The sequence below is a fragment of the Homo sapiens genome, chromosome 17 (assembly GCF_000001405.40).
Source record: "Homo sapiens chromosome 17, GRCh38.p14 Primary Assembly".
NCBI lineage: Eukaryota > Metazoa > Chordata > Mammalia > Primates > Hominidae > Homo > Homo sapiens.
The window spans coordinates 42,333,225-42,359,001 of NC_000017.11; the positions used below are offsets into that span (position 1 = coordinate 42,333,225).

The 25,777-nt window shown below is 44.0% G+C and overlaps 1 protein-coding gene across 24 annotated transcripts in view, besides 5 other annotated features; it reads right to left on the bottom strand.

Annotated features, from left to right (window-relative positions):
• The window catches only part of STAT3 (signal transducer and activator of transcription 3), a 75,119-nt gene that overhangs the window by 19,901 nt on the left and 29,441 nt on the right, over window positions 1–25,777 (bottom strand). For 10 of the 24 annotated variants that reach the window (NM_001384987.1, NM_001384991.1, NM_001384988.1 and 7 more), the window contains exons 2-10: window positions 15,165–15,315; window positions 13,345–13,489; window positions 12,335–12,433; window positions 6,090–6,185; window positions 5,507–5,588; window positions 4,539–4,633; window positions 4,211–4,362; window positions 667–825; window positions 449–541 (exon numbers count right to left, since the gene is read on the bottom strand). In NM_001384987.1, coding sequence (NP_001371916.1) covers window positions 449–541; window positions 667–825; window positions 4,211–4,362; window positions 4,539–4,633; window positions 5,507–5,588; window positions 6,090–6,185; window positions 12,335–12,433; window positions 13,345–13,489; window positions 15,165–15,292 — 1,049 coding nt within the window. In that variant the 5' untranslated portion in view covers window positions 15,293–15,315. Of the gene's footprint in view, window positions 1–448; window positions 542–666; window positions 826–4,210; window positions 4,363–4,538; window positions 4,634–5,506; window positions 5,589–6,089; window positions 6,186–12,334; window positions 12,434–13,344; window positions 13,490–15,164; window positions 15,316–25,777 lie in introns of those variants that run through there. The other 14 variants (NM_001384992.1, NM_001384984.1, NM_001369519.1 and 11 more) reach the window with 5 other exon arrangements.
• Window positions 260–319: an enhancer, noted in NCBI's record as "active region_12195". NCBI's record gives its function as "activates an Ori minimal core promoter by ATAC-STARR-seq in GM12878 lymphoblastoid cells {active_cell/tissue: GM12878}" and the evidence as "EXISTENCE:reporter gene assay evidence [ECO:0000049][PMID:35858748]".
• Window positions 340–389: an enhancer, noted in NCBI's record as "active region_12196". NCBI's record gives its function as "activates an Ori minimal core promoter by ATAC-STARR-seq in GM12878 lymphoblastoid cells {active_cell/tissue: GM12878}" and the evidence as "EXISTENCE:reporter gene assay evidence [ECO:0000049][PMID:35858748]".
• Window positions 4,140–4,449: an enhancer, noted in NCBI's record as "active region_12197". NCBI's record gives its function as "activates an Ori minimal core promoter by ATAC-STARR-seq in GM12878 lymphoblastoid cells {active_cell/tissue: GM12878}" and the evidence as "EXISTENCE:reporter gene assay evidence [ECO:0000049][PMID:35858748]".
• Window positions 4,580–4,629: a silencer, noted in NCBI's record as "silent region_8525". NCBI's record gives its function as "represses an Ori minimal core promoter by ATAC-STARR-seq in GM12878 lymphoblastoid cells {active_cell/tissue: GM12878}" and the evidence as "EXISTENCE:reporter gene assay evidence [ECO:0000049][PMID:35858748]".
• Window positions 10,158–10,227: a silencer, noted in NCBI's record as "silent region_8526". NCBI's record gives its function as "represses an Ori minimal core promoter by ATAC-STARR-seq in GM12878 lymphoblastoid cells {active_cell/tissue: GM12878}" and the evidence as "EXISTENCE:reporter gene assay evidence [ECO:0000049][PMID:35858748]".

Here is a 25,777-nt window from a genome sequence, read left to right on the forward strand (position 1 = left end):
AAAACCCCAGCACACCTGTTCTGACTTGAGTGTGAAAGTAACACCTCACCCTACAGGCCCACCACCCACCTGCCCTGGGGCCTCTCAGCTTCCCCATCACTAAGCCTTACTCTTTCCCTTAAAATCCACAGGGAAGAGTAGCCTCAAAGAACAGAAAATAGATGACATTATTTTGTCCCTTGGGCAGAAGGAGAAGCTGTGGCCTGAGACTCCAGGTCTACAATCATAGGAATATGCCCAGGTACCTTCAAAAAGATGACTGCTCTTTTGCTTTTGACATCAGAATCAGAGAGCAAGCAGATAGTATGGCAACAAATTTCAACCCCGCAACAGTGTACTGCCTGTGACACCACACCTGGAAAGAATGACCCTGGCCACCAACTCTACCCTCACCCTAACAGTGTCCCTCAGTAAAATCTCTACTGGAAATGGAAGTGGCATGGCCTACCTGACTTTAGTAGTGAACTGGACGCCGGTCTTGATGACGAGGGGCCGGTCAGGATGCATGGGCATGCAGGGCTGCCGCTCCACCACAAAGGCACTGAGGAAAGAGAAGATGGGCTCACGCGCCACGGCCATGACCAGAAGTCAGCCCGCCTCTCACTCTACCACGTGAGTCTTTAGGTATTTTTTAGATGAGGGAAAGGGACAAGGATGCTAAATTACCTTTTCATTAAGTTTCTAAACAGCTCCACGATTCTCTCCTCCAGCATCGGCCGGTGCTGTACAATGGGGTCCCCTTTGTAGGAAACTTTTTGCTGCAACTCCTCCAGTTTCTTAATTTGTTGACGGGTCTGAAGTTGAGATTCTGCTAATGACGTTATCCTGCCAATAAATTAAGAAAGATGCTAATTACCAAAGTGAATGTATACAGGTGAGATGGAGAAGGGGAAGGAAATACTGAAGACATGGAGACCACTACAATAAGAACAAGGAATTTTTTTATTGTGGTGAAATATATATAGCATGAAATTTACAATTTTTCATCTTAAGTTTACAGTTCAGTGACATTAAGAAAAGAGGAATTTTTCACCATGTTGGGTGGATGCTGAAAAAATAAATAAAAAAAGAAAATAATTTATTTATTTATTTATTTTTTGAGCTGGAGTGCAGTGGTGCAATCTCGGCTCACTGCAACCTCCATTTCCCGGGTTCAAGTGATTCTCCTGCCTGAGCCTCCTGAGAGATTACAGGTGTAAGCCACTGCGCCTGGCCTTTTTTTTTTTTTTTTTTTTTTTGAGATAGAGTCTTACTCTGTTGCCCAGGCTGGAGTGCAGTGGCACAGTCTCAGCTCACTGCAACCTCCGCCTCCCAAGTTCAAGTGATTCTCCTGCCTCAGCCTCCCAAGTAGCTGGGATTACAGGCACCCACCACCACTCCCGGATAATTTTTGCATTTTTAGTAGAGATGGGATTTTGCCTTGTTGGCCAGGCTGGTCTTGAACTCCTGACCTCAGGTGATCCATCTGCCTCGACCTCCCGAAGTACTGGCATTACAGGTGTGAGCCACCATGCCTGGCCAGAAAATAATTTATTTTACCTTTTATTACTAGTCCCTTCCTAAAATCTCAAATTTCTAAGAGGGGGCTGGGCACACAAGAAGTATTAAAATTTATACCACTAGGAGGCATTGATGGAGTTATCACTGGAAAATGACAAGCATCTGAGCCCAGATATGCAGAACACGAAATATGGAATTTAGCACTTACTTTACTCATCCTAACTTGTCTATGAACATAAAGACTCAGAAAAAGAGATTAGACAGCTCCCAAAGATGGGTTTGAGCCAGCTCTGTCACACACTATCTGTGCAAGCTTTGCCAGGCCCTTCACCATCATGGGCCTTAGCATCCCCTTGCATGAAGAGAAGGGCTTGAACTACATGAGCCCTTTCTTTTCTTTCTTTCTTTTTTTTTTTTTGAGACAGGGTCCCACTCTGTGGCCTAGTGCAGTGCAATGGCATGATCATAGCTCACTGCCTCCTCCAACTCCTGGACATGAGTGATCCTCCTACCTCAGCTTCCTGAGTAGCTAGAACTATAGGTGTGTGCCACCATGCCTGTTTAGTTTAGTTTAGTTTTTTGAGATGGAGTCTCACTCTGTCACCCAGGCTGAAGTGTAATGGCACATGTCTAGTTTTTTAAATTTTTGTAGGGATGGGATCTCACTTTGTTGCCCAGGCTGGTCTCAAACTCCTGGGTTCAAGTGATCCTCCCGACTCTGCCTCCCAAAGCATTGGGATTTACAGGCGTGAGCCACAACACCCAATCCCCATAAGCCTTTTCAATGTCAGCCTTCAACTGATCAAAGGACATGACATTATGTTTCAAAATATTGATAACATGCACAAGGAATAAGTGAATAGAGAGGGAGAAAAAGCTCATTAAATCTATCTCCAAGAATAGAGATATTAGGCCAGGTGCAGTGGCTGACACCTGTAATCCCAAAAATTTGAGAGGCCGAGGCAGGTCGATCTACTAAAATACAAAAAAATAGCCAGGCATGGTGGCATGGGCCTGTAATCCCAGCTACTTGGAAGGTTGTGACTAAGAATCGCTTGAACCTGGGAGGAGGAGGTTGCAGTAAGCCAAGATCATGCCACTGCACTCTAACCTGGGTGACAGAGTGAGACTCTGTCTCAAAAAAATTAAAAAAAGAGAGAAGTTAGCATCATTCCATCATTCTTTGATGGTTTATCACTAGTGTAACAAAGACCAAAAGACCAGAAAGACAGAAAGTGAAAGGAGAGGGAGGGGGACCGCTGCAGGGATTTCTGAACTCCTGAGCTCTTTTCTGGCACTTCTATCCTCCCATTCCCAGAACTTAAGCTTCTTCGTTCCCTGGTCAGGAAGCATTTAAAACTGCTTTCAGTAAATTAACAACACTCAGGGTTAGTGAGGATATGAATAGACAGGCATTCTCATGTAGAGTTGCGCTAAATTTCCAGTGCAGGCTCTGTATCTCAAGTTTCTCCTAAGGCAAGCTGGTGCAACATGCTCACTATAGGGCCTTGCACAGGAAGGGTTGCAGTAAGATATGCTGGATGAAGGTAAAAGTGCAAATTACAGAAAAGCATATAAAGGAAGATCCTGGGCTGGGCACGGCAGCTCACATCTATAATTCCAGAGCTTTTGAGAGGCCGAAGTGGGATGATCCCTTGAGCCCAGGAATTTGAGACCAGCCCAGGCAACAAAGTAAGACCCTGTCTCTATAAAAAATTTAAAAATTAGCCAGGTGTGGTGGTGCATGCCTGTAGTCCCAGCTACTGAGAAGGCTAAGGTGGGAAGACTGCCTGAGCCCAGGAGGTCAAGGCTCCAGTGAGCCATGACTGCATAACTGTACTCTAGACTGGGTAACACAGTGAGACCCTGACTCCAAAAAAAGAAAAAAAAATGATCCTAATATAAACTGTATAAATTTCTATCTTTATGTGTATATACATAATGTGTATATACATAATGACAGATGTCTAGATTGAGCATCAACTAAATTTTAACTACTAGTACTGCTGATGATTTCATTTAAAAATTTTTTCTTCTCTTGATTAATTTTCTGTATTTGAATTTTTTCCCTTAAAAAGGGCATGTGTCATTTTAGATTACTAAAATAACTAAAATTAAAAGGTTTGTCTATCTGTTAAATACAGTTAAACCAAAAGCCTTAATTGAATTATTAAGTAAAATATACTTAAAATATAATAATATAAATACATTTTTTAAAACAAAGTTTCTCCAAATAAAGTAAAAACTTTATTTTATTTTTATTTTTTTGAGATGGAGTCTCACTCTGTCTCCCAGGCTGGTTGGTGTGCGGTAGTAAGATCTCCGCTCACTGCAACTTCCATATCCCAGGTTCAAGTGATTCTCCTGCCTCAGCCGCCCAGAGTAGCTGGGACTACAGGTGCGCACCACCACGCCCGGCTAATTTTTTTATGTTTTTAGTAGAGATGTGTTTTCACCATGTTGGCCAGGCTGGTCTCAAACTCCTGACCTCAAGTGATCCGCCCATCTTGGTCTCCCAAAGTGCTGGGATTACAGGTGTGAGCCACAGCGCCTGGCCGAAATAAAGTAAAAACTTTAATTCTTGGGCTAAATTTGAATATGGAAAAGTCCCCACGTTGGAGATATAGTACCAATTCTGTGGGCCTGCAGTTAAGATCAGAATTCAATCTAGCTTTCGAGAAAGAAAGGAAAAGCTTCTTTCATCCTTTACCAGTTTTCTAGCCGATCTAGGCAGATGTTGGGCGGGCCTCCAATGCAGGCAATCTGTTGCCGCCTCTTCCAGTCAGCCAGCTCCTCGTCCGTGAGAGTTTTCTGCACGTACTCCATCGCTGACAAAAGCCCCGCCAGCTCACTCACGATGCTCTGGTTGGAAACCAAAACAAAGTCAGAAAACATTTCCTCAGACTGTCTCTAACCACATTCTTTAGTCAACTCCAGAGCAGGAACTTCTTAGAAACCAAGCAAGTTCTGCCACAAGACGCTGAAATCCCGCAAGTGAGCGAGACACATGGGGGAAGTGGTCCGACCTATGCCCTTACTCTCCGCATCTGGTCCAGCGCAGTGAGCATCTGTTCCAGCTGCTGCATCTTCTGCCTGGTCACTGACTGGTTGTTTCCATTCAGATCTTGCATGTCTGCGAAGGAAGAAAAAACTCCTTGACCTGAGGGAATACTCCTTGACCTGAGGGAATACTCCTTGACCTGAGGGAATACTCCTGGACCTGAGGGAATACTCCTGGACCTGAGGGAATACTCCTGGACCTGAGGGAATACTCCTTGACCTGAGGGAATACTCCTGGACCTGAGGGAATACTCCTGGACCTGAGGGAATACTCCTGGACCTGAGGGAATACTCCTGGACCTGAGGGAATACTCCTGGACCTGAGGGAATACTCCTGGACCTGAGGGAATACTCCTGGACCTGAGGGAATACTCCTGGACCTGAGGGAATACTCCTTGACCTGAGGGAATACTCCTGGACCTGAGGGAATACTCCTGGACCTGAGGGAATACTCCTGGACCTGAGGGAATACTCCTTGACCTGAGGGAATACTCCTGGACCTGAGGGAATACTCCTGGACCTGAGGGAATACTCCTGGACCTGAGGGAATACTCCTGGACCTGAGGGAATACTCCTGGACCTGAGGGAATACTCCTTGACCTGAGGGAATACTCCTGGACCTGAGGGAATACTCCTGGACCTGAGGGAATACTCCTGGACCTGAGGGAATACTCCTGGACCTGAGGGAATACTCCTGGACCTGAGGGAATACTCCTTGACCTGAGGGAATACTCCTTGACCTGAGGGAATACTCCTGGACCTGAGGGAATACTCCTGGACCTGAGGGAATACTCCTGTCCTTAATGACCAGGCTCCTTTGAGGACCCGTACCTCCCTTGCGCCCCGCCCGCCTTAAGATCTAAACAGAGTTAAGACAAATGAGTCTTTCAACTCAACAACACAAACTCACTTTCTAGAGATTTTAACATCTCTAATATTCACTTGCCTCCTTGACTCTTGAGGGTTTTATAGTTGAAATCAAAGTCATCCTGGAGATTCTCTACCACTTTCATTTTCTGTTCTAGATCCTGTTTAAAATAAGCAAACAAAAAAACAGAAGTAAAGAAAGATTTCCTTGGGAACAGAAAATATAAAGTTTCTGAGGAGAATTCAAATGAAGCCAAAACCTCAAAAAAGATACATGCAGGACCTGCAGGCAGTATCCCCAAGAGAAGGCTCCCTGTTGGCCAGGTGCAGTGGCTCACGCCTGTAATGCCAGCACTTTGAGAGGCTGAGTTGGGAGGATCACTTGAGCCCAGGAGTTCATGATCAGCCTGGACAACACAGGGAGACCCCCATCTCTACAAATTTTTTTTTTTTAATTAGCTGGGCGTGGTGGTGCATGCCTGTGGTCCCGGCTACTTGGGAGGATGAGGTAGGAGGATCGCTTGGGCCTGAGAGGTCGAGGCTGCAGTGAGCTGTGATCATGCCACTGCAGCCCAGCCTGAGTGGCAGAGCAAGACCCTGTCTCAAAAAAAAAAAAAAAAATTAATGAAAGCTCCCTGCCCGAGGCTTGTAACTTGCATCACCTGCACTCTCTTCCGGACATCCTGAAGGTGCTGCTCCAGCATCTGCTGCTTCTCCGTCACCACGGCTGCTGTGGGGTGGTTGGCCTGGCCCCCTTGCTGCCAAAAAGGAGGTCAATGCACATGTGAACACAGAACTATGGGGAGAGGAATACCTCTACCCAGCTTCCATCCCACCCTAACTACCCTTCTTGTTTGGCTTGAGACGCTGCTGCCATCACAAGAGGAAGGGAAACAGAGGCAGTGGTGCTGTCACTACACAGGTGACACTACACAGGTCATACCATAAACCCCCTTTATGGCACTAAGAGACCACATGTTCAGCTAAGACATGGTCTATGCCTTCAAAAACCTCATGGGCAAGTATGTCAAAAAATTCAAAACAATTTATGACAGCAGATGTTGGATGTCTACTTAAACGTGGTGTCCAGTATATTTCTGAGGGATAATAAAAAAAAAGTCCTGCCCTAGGGATGAAATTCCATATTAAAAGATATTATCTTGGGGAGAAGGGGAGGCTGGTACCTTGGAAAATGTCAAATAGCACATGGAAAAAGAAAAAGAAGAAAGAAGGCTGGATGTAGCAGCTCACACCTATAATATCAGCACTTGGGAAGGCTGAAGTGGGAGGACTGCTTGAGGCCAGGAGTTCAAAACTAGCCTAGTCAACATAGTGAGGCCCCATCTCGAATGAATAAATGAATGAATGAATTAAAGAAATAACAAAAAATAAATAGCATATGAAACTTAAAAATTACAGGTTCGTGCCAGGTGCGGTGGCTGATGCCTGTAATCCCAGCACTTTGGGAGGCCAAGGTGGGCAGATTACCTGAGGTCAGGAGTTTGAGACCAGCCTGACCGACACGGAGAAACCCATCTCTACTAAAAATACAAAGTTAGCTGAGCTTGGTGGTGCATGCCTGTAATCCCAGCTACTCGGGAGGCTGAGGAAGGAGAATCGCCTGAACCCGGGAGGTGGAGGTTGTGGTGAGCCAAGACTGCGCCATGCACTCCAGCCTGAGCAACAAAAGTGAAACTCCATCTCAAAAAAAAAAAAAAAAAATTACAGGCTTGGGCTAGGCATGGTAGCTCCCACCTATAATCCTAGCACTTTGGGAAACCAAGGCAGGAGGATCACTTGAGGCTGGGAGTTTGAGACCGGCCCAGGGAACATAGAAAGAGACCTCATCTCAACCAAAAAAAAAAAAAAATTTTTTTTTAACTAGCTGGGCATGGTGGCATATACCTGTAGTTCTAGCTACTTGGGAGGCTGAGGTGGGAGGATCATTTAAGTCCAGAAGTTTGAGGCCACACTACAGCCAGTTTTATGGGCAACCATTCTCTTCCTTTCCCATGGTCCCTATCCAAGCCCACAGAATACAAACTTCTTAGAAGTTTTGGGAAGGTGACCCATGCCCCTACTTCTTCCCACAGTGACAGTGACTCATCTGATTGGTAAGATGGAGAGAAAGACTCTGTGTACACACAGATCTTCAAAGAACCCAGCACCTAAGCTGGTGCCTCCCTCCTCTCACTCTTGCCTTCCTAGGGCCCACCATAAGCAAGAGCAGCAGCCTGGTTTCTAGAAGCAGGTCTAGAGGCCTATCCCTCTGCCTTGTTGGTCTATGGCAGCTGAAGCTCCATATGGATGGCTGGGGTGGGGTGGGGGTGCTGCTCTGCACATCCAGTCTCTCTACCCCAAGATCTAACTCAGGGCACAGGCATTGGAAAGCCCCTATGGTTACCAGCTCAAGCCACACTTTCCATTCTAGTTTTACCAACAATACAGCTGATGTTTTAACCTTCATTCCTTTCTCATGTCTATTTCTCAAGCAGGACTACACTTAAAGGGAGAAAACATGATTAACGATCACCCACAGAAACCCACCTCTAATACCTTCGTAAAAAACTGTATTGGCTCCCCACTGCTTCCAGCTATAAACATCTCAGGCCAACACAGAAAGCTGTTTCACACAATTGATAACTTCAACTTTCCCTCCCTGTGCCTTGGTCACCCCAGACTCCCAACTCTTCCCTGCATGCAGTGTGTTTCCACACTCTCTTCCCACCCGCTATCCACTCAGCATGGCCTGGGCTTCAGCCCAAACACACCTGAACTCACTCACCTTCAAATTCAGTTCAAATGTTTCTTTTCCTGAGAAATCTTATTCAACTTCCTTAGACAAAATGACACACATCCTTTTCTGTGTTTTTCTCACTTTGAGTGTTTGTGTACTTATAATCCCAACTAGCCTGACAGCCCTTGGTAGCAGGGATTACATCCACTCTTCTATCTTTAACCAATTCTAGACACTTAAGAGCATGCCAGGTATTGTAAACAGAAAAAATAGCAGTGAGGCCTGGGTTGAGGCCACAAATAACCAACTTATAGCTTTATATCAGGGGTTGCAAACTTTTTCTCTAAGGGACAGAGGGTAAATATTTTTGGTTTCCTGGGTCATACAGTCCCTGCCACAAATAGCCCTGCCACTGCAGCACCAAAGCAGCCACAGATAATGCATAAATAAATGAGTGTGGCTGGGTTCCGAAAAAACCTCATTTACAAAAACAAGCAGCAGGCTGGATTTGGGCCACGCTCACAGTTTGCAGACCCCTAATCCGTACGATTGAAAACATCCTTGGGATAACTTTGGCTTTCCTACCTCCCATGGTAAGTTGGAGCCTCTATCCAAATTGACTTAAACCACTTATTTTTATCTTGTGGAGCAGGATAAAATACAAAGGTTTTCCACAGCAGAAAATCCTAGTGCTGCCTGAGCAAATGCCTGTGTGCTAACCTCTTGGGCTACAGGGCACTGCACAGTAAGTGTTACCTACCACCTCGCTCACACCTGAGCATATCAGTTTTCTGCTTAAAATTCCTCACTAGGGCCGGACACAGTGGCTTATGCCTGTAATCCCAGCACTTTGGGAGGCCGAGGTGGATGGATCACCTGAGGTCAGGAGTTTGAGACCAGCCTGGCCAATATGGTGAAACCCTATCTCACTAAAAATACAAAAAATTAGCCCAGTGTGGTGGCTCATGCCTGTAATCCCAGCTACTTGGGAAGCTGAGACATGAGAATCGCTTGAACCTGAGAGGCAGAGGTTGCAGTGGGCCGAAATCGCGTCACTGCACTCCGGCCTGGGTGACAGAGTGAGACTCTGTCTCAAAAGAAAAAAAAAAAATTCTTCACTGGGTCCCCATTTCCTACAGTAATGGTGAGGGTGATGATAGTGATGTCAGCAGCAGCAGAAAGCAGTTAAATTATTTTGCATTTATGTGTCAGATACTGTTCTAAGCATTTTACATGTATGAATTAATTCTATGAAGAAGGTATTGTTATCACTCCCATTGGAGGAACAGAGAGAGTAAAAATTGTTTACTTAAGGTTACAGAGCAAGTGGCAGGGCTGCGGGTTCAAACCGAAGCAGTTGGCCCCTTGTGGTAAACTGCTCTTCCAGGGCCCCACTGTTAGGCATGACTAATTAAAACATCATGTGGCCTTGACTAGCTTGTCTTCCCCGACCCAATCAGATGCTGAACTTTCTACACTTCTCCCAAGAATACACATTTCTGTTTCTGTCTTTGAACATGATCTTCTTTCTGCCTGGAGAGCTCTTTCTCATCAGTTGATGAGCCCAGGAGTTCAACACCAGCCTGGGAAACATGGCAAGAGCCCATCTCTACCAAAAAAAAAAAAAAAAAAAATTAGCTGGGCATGGTGGCATGTGCCTGTAGTCCCAGCTACTCATAAGGCTGAGGCAGGAGGATCGCTAGGGCCCAGGTGGTTGAGGCTGCAGTGAGCTGTGATCACACCACTGCACTCCAGCCTGGGTGACAGAGTGAGACTGTCTCAAAAAAAAAAAAAAAAAACAAAGGTTACAAAGGTAAATTTGAAATGTAATGTTATGTGTATTTCACCACAATTTTTTAAAAAGCAGGGGGTCACGGAGAAAAAGAAAAAATGTCCCTGATTATAGGATATTAAAGACGGTAAAACCCCTCACAGAAAGTAAAAAAGTCTCCTATGACCGACTACTTTAATGATTTAGTATATGTGTTTCCAGATATTTTCCCATACATACCAATAGTATATGCAAATTGCATACATTTAGTTTTACTACTATGAATCAGATCTTTCTTTTTTTTTTTTTTTTTTTTTCAGTCGGAGTCTCGCTCTGTCGCCCAGGAGTGCAGTGGCGCAATCTTGGTTCACTACAACCTCCGCCTCCCAGGTTCAAGCGATTCTCCTGCCCCAGCTTCCCGAGTAGCTGGGACTACAGGCGCGTACCACCACACCCAGCTAATTTTTGTATTTTTAGTAGAGATGGGGTTTCATCATGTTGGCCAGGATGGTCTCAATCTCTTGACCTCATGATCTGCCCACCTTGGCCTCCCAAAGTGCTTGGATTACAGGCGTGAGACATCGTGCCTGGCCCAGATCTTTACTTTCATTACATCTTCTAACAGGTTACTGCTGCTACTGATTAGGGGAACTGCAGATTCTAAAAATATTTATCTTGTATACAATGGCCTTTCTAAACCTTGCTAGTTCCAATTGTTATTGTTAGTTTTGTTTCTCTTGGATCTTCGAGGAAGACCTATCTATCTGTAAATAATAAGAGTTCTGTCCCTTGCTTTCCAATATTTGTACCCTCATTTCTTTTTCTTTTTGCATAGGCTGGATCCCTCAGAAAAGTATCAATGGTAAAAGACATCCTTATCTTTTGCTGTTTTTACTGAGAATAGTGTTTCACCACTGTGCATCATGCTCCCTTTGGTTTCTGATAAATATTCTTTCTTGTGTTTAGAAAGATCCTTAATTAAGCCAGGTGCGGTTGCTCACGCCTGTAATCCCAGCACTTTGGGAGGCCGAGGCGGGCGGATCACGAGGTCAAGAGATCGAGACCATCCTGGCTAACACAGTGAAACCCCATCTCTACTAAAAACACAAAAAATTAGCTGGGTGTGGTGGCGCGCGCCTGTAGTCCCAGCTACTTGGGAGGCTGAGGCAGGGGAATAGCTTGAACCTGGGAGGCAGAAGTTGCAGTGAGCTGAGATCACGCCACTGCACTCCAGCCTGGCAACAGAGCAAGACTCTGTCTCAAAAAAAAAAAAAAGGCTGGGCGTGGTGGCTCATGCCTATAATCCCAGCACTTTGGGAGGCTGTGGCCGGTGGATCATGAAGTCAGGAGATCAAGACCATCCTGCCTAACAAGGTGAAACCCCATCTCTACTAAAAAAAATACAAAAAATTAGCCAGGCTTGGTGGCACACACCTGTAGTCCCAGCTAGTCGGGAGGCTGAGGCAAGAGAATCGCTTGAACCTGGGAGGCGGAGGTTGCAGTGAGCTAAGATGGCACCACTGCACTCCAGCCTGGACGACAGAGAGAGACTCTGTCTCAAAAAAAAAAAAAAAGAGAGATGAGGTCTCGCTACATTGCCCCAGCTGGTCTCGAACTCCTGAGGCTCAGGCAATCTGCCCGTCTCAGCCTCCCAAAGTGCTGGGATTACAGGCGTGAGCTACTACACCTGGCTGTTTTTTAGGTTTTGATATGAGGATTTTTCCAGCCTCATAAAATAAGCTGAAAACATCCCTTGTTTTCCTATACTTTGGAAAAGTTTGAATGATATTGGAATAATCTGTACTATGAAAGTTTGTCAGAACAGGCCGGGCACAGTGGCTCACGCCTGTAATCCCAGCACTGTGGGAGGCTGAGGCGGGCGGATCACCTGAGGTCAGGAGTTCGAGACCAGCCTGACCAACATGAAGAAACCCCGTCTCTACTAAAAATACAAAATTAGCTGGGTGTGGTGGCACACGCCTATAATCCCAGCTACTCTTGAGGCTGAGGCAGGAGAATCACTTGAACCCTGGAGGTGGAGGTTGCAGTGAGCCAAGATCGCGCCATTGCACTCTAGCCTGGGTAACAAGAGCAAAACTCTGTCTCAGAAAAAAAAAAAAAGAAAAACAAAGAAAATTTGTCAGAACAAAACAAAACTTTTAAACCATTGGGTCTGTTGGATTCTTTTGGTGGAACTTTCTTTTTTTTAGAGTTTTTCAATGTATTTTGGGGGGTGGAACTTTCTTTTTTTTTAGAGTTTTTCAATGTATTTTTATGATTATTGATCTATTTAATTTCTTTTCCTTCTTTTTTAGTAGATCTAATAATTTATCTCATTATAAAGTTGTTTGATTTTCCATTCCTCCCAGACCAGGGATTTGTTTTGTCTCAGGTCTCACCTGGGCCGCAGTGGCTGCAGTCTGTAGAAGGCGTGATTCTTCCCACAGGCACCGGGCCACAATCCGGGCAATCTCCATTGGCTTCTCAAGATACCTGCTCTATAAGTAGGAGAGAAAGAGAATAAAAATCAGCAGCAGACCATGGAGATGTGGACTGAACTGTGGCACCTTAAAACTAATGTATTCATCAAGGAAAGCATTTATTCTAGGAAACAACGGAACAAAGGCTTCAGAGCCTGGGTGAAGGCTCTCTGTCGGCGGGGGGCGAAGGGGAGGTCGTTACTATTTCTGTAACAGAAGGCACATTAGCCTGAGTCTTTTTTTTTTTTTTTTGAGACTGGCTCTCACTCTGTCCGCCAGGCTGGAGTGCAGTGGCGCAATCACGGCTTATTGCAGCTTCGACCTCCCAGGCTCAAACAATTTTCTCACCTCAGCCTTCTGAGTAGCTGGGACTACAGGTGCATGCCACCACAATCAGCTAGTTTTTAAAAAAAATTTCTGTAGAGATGGTGTCTTGTTATGTTGCCCAAGCTGGTCTCAAAACTCCCAGGCTCAAGCAATCCTCCCACCTCAACCTCCTAAGGTGTTGGGATTACAGGCGTGAGCCACCATGCCTGGCCTTGTCTGAGTCTTTACACAGTATACTATCCTGGTCTTGCAGGGAAGCTACTGACTTAGTCAAGAAGTATCCCATTATGGTCAAACATTTAACATGTAACAGTGAGAGTCATCTTCCTATCAGTGGACCGCGTTAACATGCTAACATGTATGATTAACATAACAATCACTTTATTACTTCAACTGTGACAAGAGAAGTGATTCTCAGGTAATGATGCTCACGGGTAAGTATACAGAGCTTTGAGAAAGGGCTAATTACTTCTCCTGTGATTGAAAATACAAGATAGATTCTCGTTACTTAGCCAAATGAGAAAAGAGATGCTTCCAGGAAAGAACACTAACACCCGACTCTGCGGGTCCTGTTTCTCCTTGTCCTCAGTTTCTCATCATACCTGAAGAAACTGCTTGATTCTTCGTAGATTGTGCTGATAGAGAACATTCGACTCTTGCAGGAAGCGGCTATACTGCTGGTCAATCTCTCCCAGGAGATTATGAAACACCAAAGTGGCATGTGATTCTTTGCTGGCCGCATATGCCCTAGGAAAAGGAAGAATGATAAAGAATGGCTCTGAAGCCGACGCATACACACAAACACAGAAATCACCATCAAGAAAGAGGAAAAAAACAAAAAAACAAAGCAAACCTGATGCTATAACCCATTCATCATGTTAGATTCTTCTTGCTCAGCAATAAAATGCCATCAATGTAATAATTATTAACAATTATTCCAGGCCAGGCATGGTGGCTCATGCCTGTAATCCCAGCACTTTGGGAGGCTGAGGCAGGCGGATCACCTGAGGTCAGGAGTTCCAGACCAACCTGGCCAACATGGTGAAACGCTGTCTCTACTAAAAATAAAAAATTAGCCAGGTGTGGTGGTGGGCACCTGTAATCCCAGCTACTCGGGAGGCTGAGGCGGGAGAATCGCTTGAATCCAAGAGGCAGAGGTGCAGTGAGCCGAGACTGTACCACTGCACTCCAGCCTGGGCTACAGCCAGACTCCATCTCAAAAAAAAAAAAAAAAAAACCACAAAACAAAAAAACAATTATTCCAGATATTATTACCCACTCTCATAATCTGTTGTATTTGTAAAATATTTGAGCAAAGTAGACAGATATGCTGTTTTGCTTTAAACCCTCAATTAACTCTGGTCAGATTTATTAGTACAAATAAGTAATCCCAGGCTGGGATGGCCTATCTCCAACATCTGTGAATCACCTCCTGGCCCTTCACCAAATCAGAGTATGCATTCTGGAAAAACCAGGTCATATTAACACTGGCCTGAATTAAACCAAAATCAGTAGTGAGCCTGAGCATATTAAAGTGAAGAAAATAGTTGCTGGACATCTGTGCCATTATCTGCTCTATGAATGGAATCTACTTCCCTTATCCTGTGATCTAGTTTGGATCTACATCCCTGCCCAAATCTCATACTGAAATGTAACCCCCACTGTTTGAGGTGGGGCCTGGTGGAAGGTGACTGGATCATGGGGGTGGGTTTCTCATGAATGGTTTAATACCATCCCTGTTGATACTGTCCTCGAGACAGTGAGTTCTTGTGAGATCTGATAGTTTAAAAGTGTGTGGCACCTCCCCCTTGCTCTCTTGCTCTTGCTGTGGCCATGTGACCTGCCTGCTCCCTCTCTGCCTTCCGCCATGATTGGAAGCTTGCTGAGGCCTCCCCAGCAGCAGATGCTGCTATGCTTCCTATATAGCCTGCAGAACTATGAGCCGATTAAACCTCTTTTCTTATAAATTACCCAGTCTCAGGTATTTCTTTATAGCAAATTGAGAACAGACTAATACACCCCTGTGGCTCCTTCCTTTAACTAAAGGGGAATTACAAGTATCAACCCAAAGTTCTAGCTATGACAGAATTCACATTCAGAGAAAAAATATGTCTACCACATCACTGGATTATCAGAATATATAGAGGATCTGCCCAAGTAAATGAGGTCCAAATCAACCTTCAAGACATCCACCACCATACAGGCGGTTTCAATGTGTCAAAGACAGTTGCCCACATGCCCTTCTAAGATAAAAAAGGCTTTACAAGACCAAAGGGTGCCCCTTTATCTCCTGATCTCATTTTCCCCATCACCTGTACCCATACATTTTTTAATGGAACAGCAAGGCATGACATTAAGAGTTCATGTCTCTTGACTCAAACTGAAACCTAACAATTTGGAGAGTCACTTAAGAAGGACTTACCAATCTTGACTCTCAATCCAAGGGGCCAGAAACTGCCGCAGCTCCATTGGGAAGCTGTCACTGTAGAGCTGATGGAGCTGCTCCAGGTACCGTGTGTCAAGCTGCTGTAGCTGATTCCATTGGGCCATCCTGCTAAAATCAGGGGTCCCAACTGTAAACCAAAGTGTGCATATGTTCACCACAAGTCCCAGTAGGGGTAAACAATCTAGAAGTAGCCATTGCCCAACACAGGTGTCAGGTCTGTGACTAGGGATAAAGATGCTCTGGGGAGGACCCTGCTTCTTTCTCCCAGTTTATTTTATTTTTAAAAAATAGAGATGGGGTCTCTATTTTTTGCCTGTTGCCCAGGGTGGCCTTGAACTCCTGGACTCAAGTGATCCTCCCACCTTGGCCTCCCAAAGTGCTGAGATTACAGGCATAAGCCAACACACCCAGCCTGTTTCTCCCAGTTTAGAACAATACAAACACATTCACAATCCCCACCTTGGGATAATCACAGCTCCTTTTTATTATTTTTTGAAGACAGAGTCTTGCTCTGTGGCCCAGGCTAGAGTGCAATGGCATGATCATGGGCTCAAGAGATCCTCCCACCTCAGCCTCCCGAGGAGCTGGGACTATAGGCACACAACACCATGCCACACTCATTTTTTAAAAAATGTTTCGTGAGACAAACAAAACATGCCCAGGCTGGTCTTGAACTCCTGGGCTCAAGTCATCCTCCTGCCTCGGCTTCCCAAAGTGCTGGGATTACATATGTGAGCCACCCCATCTGGCCACACATCTCTTTTACACTGGGATGACAAGTGGCTATTATGCCAGGTTCTAGAATCCATTATCTACCAGAAGTGTGTGAAATTAAAAAATTACTTAACTCCCAGATTTCTATTCCCTTGTCTATAAAATAGAGATAATAATTCCCACTCCTCAGAGGTATTGAGATATTCCTACAGCATCCAGCTCAGTGCATGGCACATAACAGATGCCCAACAAATGTCGGTTCCTTTCTTTCTCCTCCACAGCCCTTTTAGTTATACACAGTAAACCTGTACTGTAGCCAAAATGTAGAAATTGGATGTTTGGGGTTGGGGGACAGAGCACTAATTCCAAGACTACAGGTTTAAAAGTATAAATGAGGATCCAGGAAGATCTGCCTGAGATTCTCCTACTCAACAAATAATAACTATTTTAAAAATTGCTTAGTCTGGGACAACAGAGAAGGAAAGAAAAATGCCAGGCATAAAAGTTGTCCCAGGTTCAGGAACATCCCAGTGAAATGCTCTGGTATGAGAAACCCAGCCAGCTAATTACCTGTAATCCTCTTTCTGAATAGCATGGGTCATGGAAATATCAATAGAGGCCAAGTTGTTTTAACAAGTTCTAAAATTAGGCCAGGCGCAGTGGCTTACGCCTGTAATCCCAGCACTTTGGGAGGCCAAGGCGGGCAGATCACCTGAGGTCGGGAGTTTGAGACCAGCCTGACCAACTTGGAGAAACCCTGTCTCTACTAAAAACACAAAATTAGCCAGGCGTGGTGGCACATGCCTGTAATTACAGCTACTCAAGAGGTTGAGGCAGGAGAATTGCTTGAACCTGGAAGGCAGAGGTTGAGGTGAGCTGAGATCGTGCCACTGCATTCCAGTCTGGCAACTAGAGCAAAACTCTGTCTCCAAAAAAAAAAAAAGAGAAGTTCTAAAAATAATTACAAGTCAGAGCCAAAGATGAAGGTATGTACAGACCAAGGTCCAATGAGATGGTTCTCTGGGATAGTGAGAACATTTAATGAGAGACTGAACACACGCAAACATACTAGAGTTCTTGATTCTCAGAGAAGGCACGAAGAAGCACCTAGTTAGCACTGGCTTTTTCATAAAAATGACTGAGCAAACTGGCAACAAAACCAGCAGGTCTTCTGTTCTCAAGGCAGCAAATGTAACGGAATGAAAGGTGCGATCGTGGAACCTCTAACTCCTGCAACCTCTAACTCCTGGGCTCAGGCAATCCTCCTACCTCAGCCTCCCAAGCAGCTGGGAGTACAGGCAGCATTGCTGCACCTGGCTAATTTTTTTAAAAAAATTTTTGTAGAGATAGGGTCTTCACTGTGTTGCCCAGGCTGGTCTCGAACTCCTGGGCTTAAGCAATCCTCCTGCCTCAACCTCCCAAAGTGCTGGGATTACAGGCGTAAGCTACCACGCCTGGCCTGGGATCAGGTTTTCTGACAGAACCTGAGAGGGCTGCACTTCTCCCTCCCTCTTTGGGGGACAGACTCAGAATACCCCTCTTGCTACTGTGAAGACGGCTGGTGGAGCTCTCAAGCATATATTCAGGGAAGTGCAGGTAGTACCTCCCAGCAGTCTTTACATTGAATAATTAATAATCTAAGGCAGCAGCATCCAACAGAAATAGAATACAGGCCACACATGCATTTTAAATTTTCTGGTAGCCATACTTAAAAAGTTAAAAGAGGCTGGGTGCAGTGGCTCACGCCTGTAATCCCAGAACTTTGGGAGGCCAAGGCAGGCGGATCATGAGGTCAGGAGATCGAGACCATCCTGGCCAATATGGTGAAACCCCGTCTCTACTAAAAATACAAAAATTAGCTGGGTGTGGTGGCACATGCCTTTAATCCCAGCTACTAGGGAGGCTGAGGCAGAAGAATCGCTTGAACCCAGGAGGAGGAGGTTGCAGTGAGCCGAGATCGTGCCACTGCACTCCAGCCTGATGACATAGCGAGACTCCATCTCAAAAAAAAAAAAAAAAAAGAAAAGAAAAGAAACAGGTGAAATTAATTTTAATGTATTTTATTTCATTTAATATATCCAAAATGTTATTGCAACATATGAACATACAAAACATATTATTATTTATTTATTTATTTTTTGGAGACAGGCACTCTGTCACCCAGGCTGGAGTGCAGTGGTTCAATCACAGCTCACTGTAGCCTCAACTTCCCAGCTCAAACGATCCTCCCACCTCAGCCTCTCAAGTAACTGGGACTACAGATGCGCACCACATCTGGCTGATTATTTTTGTAGAGACGGGGTCCTACTGTGTTGCCCAGGCTGGTCTCAAACTCCTAGACTCATGCATCTCAGCCTCCCAATGTGCCAAGAGTATAGGCTTGAGCCACCGTGTCCAGCCCACAAAAACTATTAATGAGATACTTTACACTCTTTTTTTTGCTACGAAGTTTTCTAAATCTCCTGTGTACTTTACATGTGCAGCACAGCTCCAAGGTATTTTCCCTCCTCATGTATCAAGGGCTTAAATTCCACTGGTGAAAAAGCTCAGTAAAGCAAATAGAGAGAATGTCAGAATAAGGTATTTGCCCCAATTAGGCCAATACGCTTCTATAAATTAACTAAATATTCCAACAATGTTATTTTGTTGTTATTGTTTTTGAGATGGAATCGCCTAGGCTGGAGTGCAGTGGTGCAATCTCACCTCACTGCAACTTCAGTCTCCCGGGTTCAAGCGATTTTCCTGCCTCAGCCTCCCAAGTAGCTGGGATTATAGGCACGCACCACCATGCCCAGCTAATTTTTTTTTTTGTATTTTTTAGTAGACAGGGTTTTACCATGTTGCCTAGGCTGGTCTTGAACTCTTATCAGTTCAAGACCAGTCTGGCCAACACAGTGAGATCCTGCTTATAATTAATTAATTTAAAAATGTAGGCTGGGCACGGTGGCTCACACCTGTAATCCCAGAACTTTGGGAGGCCGAGGCGGGTGGATCACGAGGTCAGGAGTTCGAGACCAGCCTGGCCAACATAGTGAAACCCCGTCTCTACTAAAAATACAAAAATTAGCCGAGCATGGTGGTGGCCGTCTGTAATCCCAGCTACTCAGGAGGCTGAGGCAGGAGAATCACTTGAACCCGGGAGGTGGAGGTTGTAGTGAGCCGAGATCGCACCACTGCACTCCAGCCTGGGCAATACAGCAAGACTCCCTCTCAAAAAAAAGCAATGTTACTTGCCACCTTCCACCCTAAGATTCACCTGCCACAGGACAAATGCTGCCTGGGCAGTGGTACAGGTACACTAAGCACTAGCCAGAGTAAAAGCAGTGGCTGACGTGCATACTATATGCTGAAGCATTGTAACCATGGCATGTATTGATTGCCCTCTGTAAGAAATCAAAGGCCATTAGATCTCTCTTACAATATTTGCATTAGGGCCAAGTTAAAATCTGCCTCACATGGAGGTTGCAGTGAGCCAAGATTGTGCATCTACACTCCAGCCTGGGTGACCAAGTGAGACTCTGTCTCAAAAAAAAAAAAAAAAAAATCTGCCTCATAGACTAAAAGCATCATGACCTGACTTATGCTATGCAAGAACTGATGTGCATACAAAGAAATCTGCATAATATGCCAATTTATGTAGATTCTATTGCATACAAATTTACTGAAACTCTAAACCTACACAGTCCAGTATGGAGTCACTAGCCACATGTGGCTACTGAGCACTTGAAATGTGGCTGCTTCAAACTGAACTATGCTGTCAATATAAAATACACACTGGATTTTGAGGACTTAGTGAAAAACAAAAGAATGTAAAGTATCTTGTTCATGTTGAAATGATAATATTTTAGATATATTGGGTTAAATAAAATATATTATTAAAATTAACTTCACCCATTTCTTTTTACTTCTTTTAATATGGCTACTAGAAAACTTAACATTGGTAGGGCATGGTGGCTCATGCCTGTAATCCCAGCACTTAGGGAGGCCAAAGCATGTGGATCACCCGAGGTCAGGAGTTTGAGACCAGACTGGCCAACATGGCAAAGCTCCATCTCTACTAAAAATACAAAAATTAGCTGGGTATGGTGGCACATGCCTGTAGTCCCAGCTACTCGGGAGGCTGAGGCAGGAGAATTGCTTGAACCCGGGAGGCGGAGGTTGCAGTGGGCCGAGATCGTGCCACTGCACTCCAGCCTGGGCAACAGAGTGAGACTGCATATCAAAAAAAAAAAAAAGAAAGAAAGAAAGAAAGAAGAGAAAAGAAAAGAAAAGAAAAAGAAACTAAAAGAAAACTTAACATTACATATGTGACTTGGATCTTATTTTTATTGAACACTGCTACTCTAGACAATGTAGCCAAAAAGCGGTGGTTCTCCTAAAAAAAAATGATTTAAAAAAAGAACCAACTGCTTTTTGTAATAAACTCCAGTGTTTAAAATTAATTTTAAAAACAGACTTTATTTTTTGAGACAGGGTCTCTCTCTGTCACCCAGGCTGGAGTGCAGTGGCAAATATAGATCACTGTAACCTCCAACTCCTGGGCTCAAGCAATCCTCCTAACTCAGGGACCTGAGTAGCTGGGACTAGGGGCACAAGCCACAATGTTCAGCTAATTTTTTGTAGTTTTTGTAGAGACAAGGTCTCATTTTGTTGCCCAGACTGATCTTGAACTCCTGGCCTCAAGCGATCCTCCCACCTCAGCCTCCCAAAGTGCTGGGACTGCAGGCATGAGGCATCATGCCCAGCCAAAAATAGACTATTTAATTATTTGTCTTGGATACAAATGCAGAGGCATCACAGTCTACTCCCTGAAGGTCCAAATTAAATCATGAAACAGCATCCCACTATACCTGCTCCATCATAGATTAACACTGGGGTCATGCATGAATATTTGCATTTTCAAACTAACATATCCTAAAAACGTGTAAGTTATTGAAAATTATCTAATTCATTTCCAGTACATAACTAAGGATTTTTTGGTTGTTGCTGTTCTTATTTTTAGCTGGGGACAGAGGAGGGCTAGTAAGTAGTACAATAATTGTGTTCTTTTTTTTTTTTTTTTTTTTGAGATGAAATACTGTCACCCGGGCTGGTGTGCAGTGGGGCGATCTTGGCTCACTGCAGCCTCCACCTCCCAGGTTCAAGCGATTCTCCTGCCTCAGCCTCCCGAGTAGCTGGGACTACAGGCATGCCCCACCACGCCCGGCTAATTTTTGTATTTTTAGTAGAGACGGGGTTTCACTATGTTGGCCAGGCTGGTCTCAAACTCCTGACCTCGTGATCCGCCCGCCTCGGCCTCCCAAACTGCTGGGAGTACAAGCGCAAGTCATGGCACCCGGCCTGTGTTATTTCTTAAAACAGAAACCAGCTAGTAGTTTTTTCCATAAAATTAAAGCACCAGGCTGGGCACAGTGGCTAACACCTATAATCCCAGCACTTTGGGAGGCTGAGGTGGGCGGATCACAAGGTCAGGAGTTTGAGACCAGCCTAGCCAATATAGTGAAACCCTGTCTCTACTAAAAATTCAAAAATTAGCCAGGCGTGGTGGTGGGCGCCTGTAGTCTCAGCTACTTGGGAGGCTGAGGCAGGAGAATCGCTTGAACCTGGGAGGCAGAGGTTGCAGTGAGCCAAGATCGTGCCATTGCACTCCAGCCTGGGCAACAGAGTGAGACTCTGTCTCAAAAAAAAAAAAAAGAAGGCACCAGGGCACCAACAATGACTGATTTCATGTTTTACTTCTTAGTCTAATCACCATAGGTAATACTTTAATAGTTATTCTACAGGGGAAAATAAAAGTATAACTTAAAGCCAAAGACCAGGTAGTATTTTCAAGGAGAGAATATGCAAATACTTCCATAGTCTTCTCCTTACAGGCTGCTTAGCTACAAACCATATTTAATTAACAGCAGTCACAGGAGATGACTAGCCAAAGTGTCTAGGAAAATCACTGCCAAGCAGCTTTACTGTAACTGTTTTACTGGAAAAGACCTCAAAGAGCCCATGTTATTTCACAATTTCAATTTTGGTTTTTCAAATTACAAGTTAATCTAAAGAACTCCACTAAGTTCTAACTACATTACTTCATATCTACGGAATAATTCTAAGCCTGTGGGTTTTTAAAAAAATTTTATTAGACATTCTAGAATTGGGCAACACTTCATTCAATGCCATAGGATGAATGTTCTCCCCAAGCCTGTGACTTAATAACTACTTCATTGAGCCCCAGAACACACAAAGTTATCTGAGGAACAACTTGAGTGCCAACTACCACTCTGGGTGCATAAGAGAGAAGACAATTCATTACTCCATATAGGCTGCCTTAGGACATTATATGGGGCTCAATTCAAAGCATTTACTCAGGTTAAGTCAGCAGATAGTAGATGCACTGTACAAAGGCAAGGTGGGTGTAATCCTGTTTTCTATAACTGAAGAGAAAAGAAAAAAATGAAACAGCAAGTCATCAAAGACTTTTTGGACTTTTCAAAACAGGAATTTCTCAGTCCCTTGGGGATAACCTACCAACAGCAAGTCATAAAACAAATAACTATTGTCTAATTGGGAACTTATTACCGTAAAGATGACTGAAAAAGTCTGTCCAAAGTTACAGTTCTCATTTATATACTTGAATCTAATGAAACCAAAAGATATATTGAGAAACGCAGTCAAGACCACTTACAAAAGGGATTTACTACACAGCTTCATAAAACTTTTTAAAGTTAAGACTTGTACTTCACATCCATGCACTAGTGGATTTACAACGAGGGTGAGGGAAGGCGGAAAGAGAGACGAAAATCAGGCTCATACAATAATCCAGAACAGAAAGTGATCTAAAGATAACTTCTGTTCCACTTTGCAATGTGTCATGACATTTTCCTTTGGGTACCACCTATACTTTTATTATAAATACATGCATTTTAAATAGAGCATACCTGTGTTTTATCTGCTGCCTACACTAACCTCTTCTTTGCTGTCAGGAAAGGCCCAGTGATCAAGGCAACCAAAGTATAAAGAAACACAGAAGATTTCTTGCACTGAATTCTATAGGAACCAGTCCTTTTAAGAGATATGTTTGAAAGATTATAAAATAATGTTCAATGTGGAAAATTTAGAAAAATATAAAAAAGAAAATAAAAGATAAAAACATCCATATCCCACCATCCCACTATGCAGAACAAAAACTGACATGTTGCCAGGTGTGGTGGTCTGTGACCCCAGCACTTTGGGAGGCTGAGGGGGGAGGATCACTTGAGGCCAGGAAGTCAAGGCTGCAGTGAGCTGTGATTGCACCACTGTACTCCAGCTTGGGTGACACAGCGAGACCCTGTCTCCGAAAAAATAAAAATTGACATGTTGATGTAATTCCTTTAAATCTATTTCAGAATGTGTTTGTGTGTGTGTATATATATATATATATTTTTTTTTTTTTACATTGGAGTCATAGCATTAATACAGCTGCATATTCTTTTAAAGTTTATTGTGTAGTAAACATTTTTCTATGAAAAGAGTATTGTGTTTGTTTGTTTGTTTGTTCAAATAGAGACCAGCTGCCCAAGCTGGTCTCAAACTCCTGGTCTCAAGCGACCCTCCTGTTTTGGCCTCCCAAAGTGCTGGGATTACAGGCGTGAGCCACAGTACCTGGCCTGAAAAGAGATGTTTTGTTATTGTTGTTGTTGTTGTTTGAGACAGAATCTCACTCTGTTGCCCAGGCTAGAGTGCAGTGGCACCATCTCAGCTCACTGCAACCTCCATCTCCTGAGTTCAAGTGATTCTCATGCCTCAGCCTCTGGAGTAGCTGGGATTACAGGCATGCGCCATCATACCCGGCTAATTTTTGTATTTTTAGTAGAGACGGCGCTTCACCATGTTGGCCAGGCTTGTCTTAAACTCCTGACCTGAGGTGATCTGCCTGCCTCAGCCTCCCAGGGTGCTGGGATTACAGGTGTGAGCCACTGCGCCTGGCCTGAAAAGAAATTTTTATTTAAAGCGCATAAAAGAACTATTTTGTTTCTATTGGTGTTTTCAATACAACCCTGCTAATCCCACTGAGGGCCACATAATTTATTAAGATTTGGAAACCCCAATTTATTTGTTCTCACCATACCACGTTCTAAAAATAATCTGAAGTATCTGCAAGTAGATTAGGAAGGAAAAAAATGAGAAAAGTAAGAGAAAGCAATTCACGCTAGAGAAAAACATTCAATCTTCATAAAATTTTCACCACAGGATAAACAGCATAATGGATGACAGAGAGTCCACATTAAAATACTGTAGGCCAGGTGTGGTGGCTCATGCTTGTAATCCTTGGGAGGCTGAGGAGGGTAGGTCACCTGAGGTCAGGAGTTCGAGACCAGCCAGGCTAACATGGCAAAAGCCTGTCTCTACTAAAAATACAAAAATTAGCCAGGCATGGTGAAATACACCTGTAATCCCAGCCACTTGGGAGGCTGAGGCAGGAGAATCACTTGAACCCGCGAGGCAGAGGTTGCAGTGAACCAAGATGGTGCCACTACACTCCAGCCTGGGCGACAAGAGCGAAACTCCATCTCAAAAAATAAATTAAATAAATAAATAAATAAATACTGTAGCTTTAAACTATTAGAGTCATTCATAATTTAACCATTCATAATTACTCTAGACATTAAGAATGGAATTTCAAGTTTAAAACATAACTCAAAATAAGTACACTTATATAGTAAGCACACAATTTCATAGTTTTAAGTCCAAATAGTACCTTTGTAAGATTTAAGACTAGATACTTGCAATAAGAAGTCTATATATAAATCTAGTTTTGATTTCCTAAAGAGACAAAATATTAACACTTGAGTGCCCAATCTGAAACAAATTACTATAATTACTGTAATGTTCAATTACATATAACAGGATTTGCTTTAAAATTAAAAACCAATGACGATCAAGCTTGTAAAAATGAACATCAATCTATAAGAAAACTTGAGTTATAGTTCCCTACTAATATGACAAAATTTGAATATATGAAAGAAGTAAAGGCCAGGCATGGTGGCTCATGCCTATAATTCTAGCACTTTGAGAGGCCAAGGTGGAAGAGGGATTGCTTGAGCTCAGGAGTTCAAGACCAGCCTGGGCAACACCGTGAGACCTTGCCTCTACAAAAAAATTTTTTTAAAATTAGCCTAGCATGGTGGCCCATGCTTGTAGTCCCATGGAGGCTGAGGCAGGAGGATCACTTGAGCAGATTGAGACTGCAGTGAGCTGTGATCATACCACTGCGCTCCAGCCTGGGTGACAGAGCTAGACCCCATCTCTAAAGAAGGAGCAAGAGCTTAACAAACCTAATTCCCTCTAAATTAAAAGTAACAAACATGATTTGTCAATTACTGAGTGCACAGTTGATTGTTAAAGCTGCCTAAGAACAGGTCTGAGCTCTACAAAAACTAAAACTAAAACAAGAAAACCCACAAAACAGACCAAATTTGTGCATCAGATGACCTCCCCACTTGGGAACACTTCCACTTCCCCAACCAGACACATTCCTCTGTATCAGTGTGGTGTGGGGGAAAGGACAGTAGAGACGGGAGCTGGATGGGCCTGGGTGCAAAACCCTGCCTGACATTTATTAGCTATTTGTCTTTGGGAATGGTATTTCACTACCAAATGGGCTTTCTCTTCAGTAAAACAGGGAACTCTCTCTCCTTTGAAGAACTGTTGTAAAGTTAAAATCAATAATGGTTGTACAGCATCCCTCTGTGCTGGTGCTGCTGGTGCCAGATCCTCAGAGCTGCAGTTATTGTTCCTTTCCCCCAGGGTCTCCCTTTCATGGACATTTCTTACTTTTTTTTTTTTTTTTTTTGAGATGTAGTCTCACTCTGTTGCCCAGGCTGGAATGCGGTGGGCACAAT